This window comes from Homo sapiens, chromosome 12 (genome assembly GCF_000001405.40).
Source record: "Homo sapiens chromosome 12, GRCh38.p14 Primary Assembly".
Taxonomy (NCBI): domain Eukaryota; kingdom Metazoa; phylum Chordata; class Mammalia; order Primates; family Hominidae; genus Homo; species Homo sapiens.
In genome coordinates this window covers 12,461,344-12,471,817 of record NC_000012.12, presented here as the reverse complement: position 1 = coordinate 12,471,817, position 10,474 = coordinate 12,461,344, and the positions used below count along the sequence as shown (strand labels likewise).

Below are 10,474 nucleotides of genomic sequence, written 5' to 3'. Positions count from 1 at the left end.
CACCGCGAAGGTCTGCAGCTTCACTCCTGAGCCAGCGACACCACGAACCCACCAGAAGGAAGAAACTCCAAACACATCCGAACATCAGAAGGAACAAACTCCGGACACGCTGCCTTTAAGAACTGTAACACTCACTGTGAGGGTCCGCGACTTCATTCTTGAAGTCAGTGAAACCAAGAATCCACCAATTCCGGACATATTAGGAAGGTGTAGATTGAGATGTGAAGAAAAATAAGACAAAATTGGAGCCGAGTGTCCAAAGAGATTATGTGAAGGGTAGAGGGTGCATATGGGACTAGTTGATGGAAACTTTTTAGTCTCAACACGTTCACTGTTACTTTATCTTAAATACTCCTTTGGTTTTGTTTTTCTGAGAAGCAGGAATGTTTTAGATCTAGTAAACAAAATTTGTCTACGTAATTTTTCTGTGAATATTAGTCTTCTGCATCTAGAAATGGAAGCAGGAAGTAAACTATTTCTAGCTTCTGTGGGACCCATTCATCCTTGAACGGCCTAATTATACTTGGTTATATCTTTAAAGTTGCAGAATCAACTGGAAAATCACAGCATTGTCCTGGAAGATATTTACAAGTCAGTCATATTGTTGTACTTTATTTGCAGAGACAGCAATATGCACTTATGTAAAAACAGTTTCATTCTTTTGGTTCCAGCTCAAACACTAGAATCCGTTTGAAAATGCTGTCCCACAGGAAATGCAGGATGTGGCCGGTAGAAGCAATGTGACAGGCAAATAGGGTAACCTGAAGAGCATTCAGTAATGGTCTGTGTTCTCTGTCAGAATTATGACAATTCCAAAGACCAGAATGAAAGTACTTGGTGCAGAAAAGCTTTTCGCATAACTCATGCCTCAAGGAATGAGCCTTGATTGGTGAAGAAAATTGAGTCAACGGTAAATTCCATCAGATCTTACACTGACATTGATAACCCTGGAAAAATCCCGGAGGCATGGACACGCACACACCAGCATAACGCTGGTCATCCTGGCAGGCAACTAGATCTAGTTGCCAACTTTTTTATCTTTTTGGTTTGAAGCATGTGGATAATTATCTGGCTACCCTTTCCCTCTGTAGCCATAGCATTTGAATGGAAGAGACATGCCTGGTGTGTCAAAAAAAAAAAACCCACATGAAATTCAATGTTATTTATGACAGCAGTCCCCAACCTTTCTGGCACCAGGGACCCATTTCATAGAAGACAATTTTTCTACAGACAGGGAAGCAGGGGGATGGTTTCTGGATGAAACCGTTCCATCTCAGATCATCAGGCATTAGATTCTCATAAGGAGCGCAAAACCTAGATCCTTCACGTGCGCAGTTCACAATAGGGTTCACGCTCTTAGGGGAGTCTAATGCTGGGTCTGTTCTGACAGGAGGTGGAGCTCAGGCAGTGATGTGAGTGATGGGGAGCAGCTATAAATACACACGAAGCTGGCCAGGTGCAGTGGCTCACGCCTGTAATCCCAGTACTTTGGGAGGCCAAGTCGGGCAGATCACGAGGTCAGGAGTTTGAGACCTGCCTGGCCAACATGGTGAAACCCCATCTCTACTAAAAATAAAAAATTAGCCGGGTGTGGTGGCGGGCACCTGTAGTCCCAGCTACTCGGGAGGCTGAGACAGTATAACTGCTTGAACCCGGGAGGCGGAGGTTGCAGTGAGCCGAGATCGTGCCACTGCACTCCAGCCTGGGCAACAGAGCGAGACTCCATCTCAATAAACAACAACAACAACACGTGAAGCTTCACCTGCTCATCCGCCGCTCACCTCCTGCTGTGCAGCACACTTCCTCACACGCCACAGATGGGTACCAGTCTGTGGCCTGGGGTTTGGAGACCCCTGATTTATGGTAAGTTAGTGAACAATAATGCCACCTCCTCAGAGGCACTATATAGTTCTTAACAAAGGAATGAAGCGAAAGGTCAGGGAAAGAAAAGCAAAACTACTCTCGTGATTAAATTTCATACCTAAAAAGTCCACAAGAAGAAAAGTTTTCATTTCTCCCTAATCCATCCTTCAATCTTGAGTATCAACATTTTGAATAATTTCTGCTGAGCACTATATATCTGGGTTTGGCTGAAGTATAAACAAATCAGGAAGACCAAGTTTCCCAATTGCACTAGAATTTTAATACATGTCTGGTCACGTCTCTGACAATTCCTGGTTTTGCCTTGGGAATTACTAGGGGAAATGCCAAAGCTAAGTAAGTTCTACAAATCAACACAAAAGTGGCATACGTCATTCGCCCCAGGGCCATTAGTTTATGTAACCTTGTAAAACCGAGTTTGTAATACCTATAACGTAAGGGTAACAGTACCAACCTCTTTCATAACTGAAGAAGCCGCAAAGAAATACTCAGGATACAGAAACATATATACAGACGCACACATACATAAAATCAAACTTTTTTACTCAAAAAGCAGATTCTCCCAGACTAAACTCATTTCTAAACGGAGTTTCACTCTTGTTACCCAGGCCAGAGTGCAATGGCACGAACTTGGCTCACTGCAACCTCCGCCTCCCAGGTTCAAGCGATTCTCCCACCTTGGCCTCCCAAGTAGCGGGGATTACAGGCACCAGCCACCATGCCCGGGTAATTTCTGTATTTTTTTTAGTAGAGATGGGGTTTCACCATGTTGGTCAGGCTGGTCTGGAACTCCTGACCTCAGGTGATCCACTCGTCTCGGCCTCCCAAAGTGCTGGGATTACAGGTGTGAGCCACCGCGCCCGGCCTAAACTCATTTCTTGAATGTACTCCTATATCAGGGTATGGAGTCCTTGAAACTCATTTAATGAAATGTTTACTCTGTGCAGAGAATACTGGGTAGGTATCTAGGTTCAAAATATATTTCATATTTTAAGGATGTTATCATCTAAGACACAGGAAACTATATATGTGTGGTCTATAAAACCATATATAGCGTTACTAAGAATAAAACTTTGAGGGAAACAAAGACATGAAGGCCAGTTTCTACCAACCTTCCACTTTGACCAGGGAAACCAGGAGACTGCACATAGAGGCCTATTTGACTGTGTTCATCAACAGAAATGAACAGATTGCAAGATAAGCAAAACAGGCTCTAGAAAGAAGCAGCCAATGAACAGCTAATTTATAATTAAAAGGAAGAAAAGCAGCTGCACCTTGGGAGCTCGGAATTTAGTCACTACCAAGACCCAGGGCCACTGCTCAGAGACAAAAGGTAAACACGCTCATTGTAGTCAAGATGTATCGGAATCACAGACTTGGAATCTTAGAGCTGAAAGGGGCTTGAGAGCCCACCCAGACCTGCTCACGCTGTAGGAAGGCGGAAACTGAGGCTCAGGGAAATGAAATGGCTTGCCAAAGATTAAGGCTAGAAACGTCCAGCCAAGGGCTCTTTCACAACTCCTATCCCTGAAATATCCCATAACGGCCAGATAGGTCATGGGGTATTAACCAACAAAGAGATCCAGCATAACTGCTTCTTGAAATACAAATCACTCAGACTCCCAGGTTCCATCAGGAAATAGCAAAACATGAGAGGGAAAGGACTGGTAATGCCATGTTACCAGTCAGAGGTTCCATCAGAAAAGAACCACTAGGAATGATGTAGAAAGAGAGGATTGTGAAAGCGGTTTGAGCAATTAGAGGGGCTGGTGAAAGTCTCGGTTCGGCTGTTTCTTCTTCACCAGACCACAGGCCAGGCGGTTGGAAAGGATGGTGAGGGAGAGCAAGTACGACTGAGACCTGCAAGCCACAAGCTGGGACCTGCACCTGTCTCTCATCAGAGCCCGTGCTGGTCTCTCATCCCCAAACCTTCATCCTTGTGGCTGCAGACCAAGAAGCTGGTTCTCATACCCGGCCCAGGGTCTGGAAAAGCCAAAGGCAGAGTTCTGCGGGAGTGGGAGGAGCCGTGGGCCCAGCGGCTGCCCACACCACAAGTGCAGGAGATCCATGGTAACGTGCACGTGATGGAACAGGGCCTGACCTACATCCACTTCCAGTGAATACACATGGCTGTTGCTCTACTTCCACTTCCAAACCTCATGCAAATCTCTCTCGTGGCCAACCCTCACCAGAGAAACAAACAAGGAAGGGAATTCTGGGAACACAGTTCAGTTTAGCCAAGTTCACGACACTGCAGAAACCACAACATGCCATCAAAATATTAAACTAACTAGAATTCTTTCCGGGAGTATTGAATTTGCCTATTGTTCTTCTGCCATACTTCTCCGCTTCCACCCAGTAATAAGTAGCCTATCACCTACTCAGGACCCCAGTCTAAGTGAACCCCATGTTTTGTCTAACTTCTACTTTAGAAGTAGACACAGTTGGCTGGAGAGCTGGCTGACTGCGTGGTTTGTTTGTGCTGCACTAGGTCTGCCATCCTGCCCTGTGCCAGCCACTAACAGCTGCAGCAGTGGAAAGGCTCGGCCCTCGCAGGCTTGAACTGCCACCCACTCTGTGCTTTCATGTGTCACCTGTATTAAGTGCAGTGAGGATAATGGCACCTAAGCTATTTTTGTAGCTCTGTAAACAGCCCTTCATTCCTCGAAGCTACAAACATATCCCTGTGTTCAGAACCAGGTTCTGTATACTCCAGAAGAAAGACAATGATGGTGATGTCTTAAATATACCACTTTTTGTCAATCTAGGTGAAAGAAATATGAATATTCATTGTATTATTCTTTTGAATTTGAAAATGTAAAATTAATTAATTTTTTTTAATTAGCTGGATTTGGTGGCACACACCTGTAATCCCAGCTACTCAGGAGTCTGAGGCGTGAGGATCCCCGGAGCCCGGGAGTTTGAGGAGTCAGTGTGCTATGATTGCGCCACTGCACTCCAGCCTGAGCAACAGCACAAGACCCTGTCTCAAACCAAGATTAGAATCAGATCAAGTTTAGCCAAGATACATTAAATTAAGCGCATCAATTTTAATCTTGTGAATCTACTGAAGGCTCTTTCTGGTATCTGAAAACACACCTCCCGACGCTTGCAGGAACTTAGGGAACAGGGTACAGGCCTGCATGCCGTCCTGGCCCCAGCGACTCCCTTCAGCTCTGACTTTTAGTCTCAAGGTGTCTGCCTAGGTCTGCTCCTCACATTCCACTCTTTGCTTCTCCAGTCCTTGCTTCCATTAGAACACCTATGATGTGTAAAGTACGACACTAAGCACTTTTGTTGTTACTCAAATAACTTCCTTTCCTAAACTCCCAGAGAAATTCAGCAGCTTTTTGAGCTTTTTTCTTTTCAGAAATGAAGGCCTGAGGCTATACGGCCATATTTGTATCCCTGGCACAATATTGGACACATCAAATGGGTTCAAGAAATGTCTGTGGAATGAGACATCTCTGCAGTCAAAGAAAGCTAAACTATGTCTGCATCAAGGAAACCGGTTATCAGTGGAGATGAATCTGATGAGGGTGTGGAAAGGAAGGCTTCAGCTTCTGATGACGACTAAGGGACACCTAACCTGACAGTCAACAAAATGCCAGTGTTCCACCTGGGCAGGAAGACGCGCCCCAGATAAGGGCTTGGTGTGACGGAAACAGTCAGGGTAGAAACAGGAACAATACAGAGACCTAGATTCAATTAGTTTTTCAAGTTGACCACACATAAACCAGACAGCCTACTGAAAAGTTCATGAGGGCGTTGAGAACACAGAGCTTCGTAAAATATTTTCCCCTTGTCTCCATATTTTTATTCCGGTACCTGGACTGGACTATATACTCTCAATTAAAAAAAAAAAAAAACTAAATAAAAATAATTCTCAATGCAGAGTTCTTCAAAGAATTCCTAATAATTCACACGTTCCAGCTTCAGTTATCACCGAGAACTGGTTAGGTTCCTTCCACACCGGGAAACTGCATCAAGGAAAAGAGCTGGGCAAAGTCAGATTTTCATGCCAGCCGGACTCCTTCGCACCCACTTTCAGGGAGCCTCCCGCCAGCCTCCAGACCTGGTCAGATGATATGACCTTAGCTCCACACGTCCTCAGGGTGTCGGTGTCTGGGGCTCCCAGCCCCAGGCAGGCCGGGCAGCAGCTACAGCCTGAGCTCGCGGTCGGGCTTCATGCTGAAGGGCTCCAGCCGCTCGCCCTCGGGCAGCATGCTGTTGAGCCTGTCCAGCAGGGGCACAGTCTGGTCGATGCCCATCTGTATGCGGCGGAGGATGGCGGACATCTCGTTCACTTTCTGGATCTGCTCGGCATACTTGGCGTATCTTTTCTGGCGCTCCTGCATGAAGCTGAACAGAGTTTCTACAGACAGATCCATCTGTGGATGGGAAAGAGAAGTACATTATACCTTGTTTAATCAAGTCCTCTCCGCAGGGCCGGGTGTCCAGCCTGTGAGGGACACAGTCCCGCAGATCCAGTGGAAGCTGACAAGTTTTACAGGAAGCACCCAGGGCTAAAAAGCCCTTCAGGGACACAGCTTTATCAACTGTTGTGCCAGAACCACCTTTAGAAGAGAACTGAGAGGGGACTGTCCCTGGCTCTATGTTCTGGGAATGTGCGTTATTTGTACCTTGTTGAGATCCTGAGATTTCTATCTCCCTATATGAGGGGAATTCTGGATGTGGAAATCAGTCAGGCCAAGGCTGAATCTGGCTCTGTCACGTGTATGAGCTGCTAATGCTTATCCTTTGTGTCTCAGGTTGCTTATCTAGAAAAAAACTAGGAGCAGATGGGCGTGGTGGTGTGTGCGTGTAATCCCAGCTACTTGGGAGGCTGAGGTGGGAGGATGGCTTGAGTCCAGAAGGTCGAAGCTGCAGTGAGCCATGATCATGCCACTGCACTCCAGCCTGGGCGACACAGTGAGACCCTGTTTCTAACAACAATAACAAAAATCCCAAACCCCAAAATGCATGTTCTTCACTCAATCCTTCTCTTCCCTGGACGGCTGCAGTTTGGCGGACACTCGGGGAACACTGCAATGGAAGGGAGGCTCTCCCTGCCAGGGCCAAAAATGCAACCAAGGCTCCCGTCCTTACAACACACCACATTTGTCAAACTGTGAGGACTATCTCATGTGCCCTTCTCCCCCATTAAAGAAACTGCGGGCTCTGGGCTGCCCTTGCGTGACTTCTTCTCTTCCCCTTACAGAGGCTCTTTAGTACCCATCACCCAGATAAAAATAGAGAGAGAGACCGCCATCGTGTTGGGCACTTGCACCCCTTCCTCAGCATGGACCCCACTTCCACCCCCTCACCCCTTGTTTCTTTCCCAGGCCAGGAGAAAACAGCTCAACTACTGAGGCCCACACTCCTATCCCAAGGTTCCCAGGCTCCTCCAGCCCTTCCTTCTGGTTTATTCCTGGAGCACGCCCCTTCCCGACCTTGCATCAGGACAAGGGCTCAACACCCGGTACCAGAGAGCCTCTGAAAATGGCTTCGAGAGACACAAAAACAAACTCATGAAAACACGGGGGACCAAAGCCAGCCCCAAGAAAAAATAATTTCCCTTTTGCTATCATCTGTGGGGAGGGCAGGAGGGGCGGGAGGCGACCGAAGCACATCAGTGTTGCTGTCCTCTGGCGGGCCTCTTGCTTGAGTGCCTGCAGGGCAGGAGGAGCAGCTAGTTGGGCACGGGGAGAAGGAGAAGAGAAAAAAAAAAAAAACATGGGAGTGAGAAACTCCAAATAATGTGGAAACAATGCACACTTTCCGGGGTTCTCTGCAGCCCTGTCTGGCGCTCAGCACTTTGGAAGTAGTGAGCCAGGAGAGTCCTGTGGTCCTGACAGTCACCCGCTGGGCCTTTTCAGGGTGGCCTTGCAATGAGCACTGAGAAACACTCCACACACCTGAGAGACAGCGGGGCTCGTGGGAGCCAGGTGGAATCCTGAATTGGGAACCTTCTCGGGCATCACATTTTACTTGGCAGGGCATTCCTGGCCCTCCACCCCGCAACCCTACCAGACTAGATAGATGCTTGAAGAGTTTCTATCTGAAATGGCCTCCAAGGCTCTAACTTATCAAGTCTAAAGTCCTTGGCAGTCAATCCATCCCCGATTCACACCTGATGAAGACTGTTCACAGCCATCTTCACAGGTACTTGTCAAATGGCATGTACTTCCCTACATGTTTCCACATCCAGCTGGGGCCCGTGTTTAATGTCTCCAAAGCTTTTGTAAAGGCACTTTCTGTTAATGCTGAGATGAGCACACTGAGTTCAAACAGGTTGTTCATGCGTGCTGACATCATGTCTTACTTCCATTATGCTCCATGGAAGAAAAAAACCGCAAGAGGAAACTTGAGTTTGCGTGACTTTGAAGATCTCACAGTGACAGAACCTACACTGGACCCCAGCTCTCCGAAGTCCAGCAGCTCCCCTCTTTTACACATATTTCCTGAGCAAGACCCTGTATCACTGGTGCTTTATGAGACTTTTGTTGGCACGTGGCACTGCATTAAAGAAGACTAGATCACATGTAGGGAAAGTTATTACCTTTTAAATGTTTCCCCCATTCTTTGTTGCAAAGAAAGTCTCAACTTGGTGCAAGCAACAATGGACTATCTGGAAAAGGATGGTAAAACTGTTGATGCCTATTTTTGATGTCTCTGACCTTTGCTCTTGAGGTAACATTGTCCTTGATCCATAATCCCTACCTTTACTCCACGAACCCCCAGACACATGCTCATTGTAACACATTTGATGTGACTGTAGGCAGTAAACCAGTATCTCACACAATTCTGAATCACCATTTTGACAATCTAGGGATATATCCTTATTTGCCTTTCCTATTTCTATTTTTGGCACATGGATTCTAACAAGATAACATATATACTAATTGTCTTCTGGATAAGCAGAGGTGTTATGATATCACCTAGGGTTGCCTCACTGAGCACCCATAGCCATTCAAAAGACCCAGCTTGGCCAGGCGTGGTGGCTCATACCAGAACTTTGGGAGGCTGAGGAGGGCGGATTGCCTGAGCTCAGGAGTTCGAGACCAGCCTGGGCAACACGGCGAAACTCCGTCTCTATTAAAATACAAAAAATTAGCCGGGCGTGGCAGTGTGCGCCTATAGTCCCAACTACTTGGGAGGCTGAGGCAGGAGAATCGTTTGAACCCAGGAGGCAGAGGTTGCAGTGAGCCAAGATCGCACCACTGCACTCCAGCCTGGGTGACAGAGCGAGACTCCATCTCCAAAAATAAATAAAATAAAATAAATCCAGCTTCAGACAGGGCAATCTAACCATCCAAGCTGGAGCTAAAGGGCAACCACGAAGCTGTTTGTGAAATGGATAGTCACAATTTTTGTTCACCACACTCATCAATCCATTCATCTACCAATAAAACAACGGTTAAGATTGCAAGTTCAGGAGTCAGACCACCTAGGTTTAAGGGCTACCCTCGACCCAGTATCTATGTGATTTTAGAAAATTACCCAGAAGGCTGATTCCATGAGAGCAAGGATTTGGTGTGCTTTAAACCCTGCTATATCTCCAGTACCCAGCACATAGCAGGTCCTGAATAAATATTTGTTGAATAAATGAATGAAAATATACGTAAGCCTCGGTTTCCTCATCTGCAAGGTAGTGGGGATAACAAGAGTGGCCACTTAAAAGACTGTCCTGAGGATTAAATGAGATTCTGCAAGGAGAACATTATCATCCTGCCCAGCACACAGTGAGCACTGGGTAAGTGTGAGCTATTACCACACAGGCAACAGACAGTTATTGAGTAGCATCACGTGCCATGTGCCATGCACTATGCGAGGTCCTAGGATAGATATTGAGAACCAAAACTACTTACACCCACACAGCTTACCGTGTACATTAACATGAATTTTCTTTTCCACTGTTTCTGTTAACATGACTTTACTATTCCAGGAAACTCAGGCCCAGAAACATATAAATTGCAAATAACTTTGTTTCAGGAACTTAAGAAAAATTAAATGAATAAACTAGCTGATTTTCAAATAGAAAGTGAACAACTCTTTATTCTCCACAACTCTTGCCTCAAAACCCTCGCCTTGCCGTGACACATGACCAAGTTATAATCAGTGGTGTGTGCATGCAGAAGTCTCTCCTGGCAGCTTCCAGGCACCTTCCTGGAAAGGCAGCCGGCATGCACTCTTTGTTGCTTCTCTTCTTCACTGTCCCCTCCTCCACTCTGCTGCTGCTGAAATGCAGGTGCACCCCATGTAGACCATGAGAATAATGAAGGTTACATCTTTGAGTTGGCAGATCATGAGCTAGAAGCAGCCTGGGTCCATGAGGATGTTTATGTGTAAGAGGAGACCAGGCCTGAGAGAGATGAATAAACTTTCATTTTGTATAAGCCACCATCATTTGGGGTTTCTGTAACACTAGTTAATATAATCTTATACTGACAGATAGGAATGCTGGCCAGGTGCGGTGGTTCATGCTTGTCATCTCAGTACTTTGGGAGGCTGAGGTAGGAGGACCACTTGAGCCCAGGAACTCAAGAGCAGCCACGACGACACACTGAGTCCTCATCTCTACAAAAAATAA

General features: G+C 46.4%; 1 protein-coding gene across 6 annotated transcripts in view; it reads right to left on the bottom strand.

Annotated features, from left to right (window-relative positions):
* BORCS5 (BLOC-1 related complex subunit 5) overlaps window positions 585–10,474 on the bottom strand; it is a 114,156-nt gene continuing 104,266 nt past the window's right edge. For 5 of the 6 annotated variants that reach the window (NM_058169.6, NM_001330356.2, XM_011520551.3 and 2 more), the window contains one exon: window positions 585–6,272. In NM_058169.6, coding sequence (NP_477517.1) covers window positions 6,042–6,272 — 231 coding nt within the window. In that variant the 3' untranslated portion in view covers window positions 585–6,041. Of the gene's footprint in view, window positions 6,273–9,911; window positions 10,462–10,474 lie in introns of those variants that run through there. The other variant, XM_011520553.3, reaches the window with a different exon arrangement.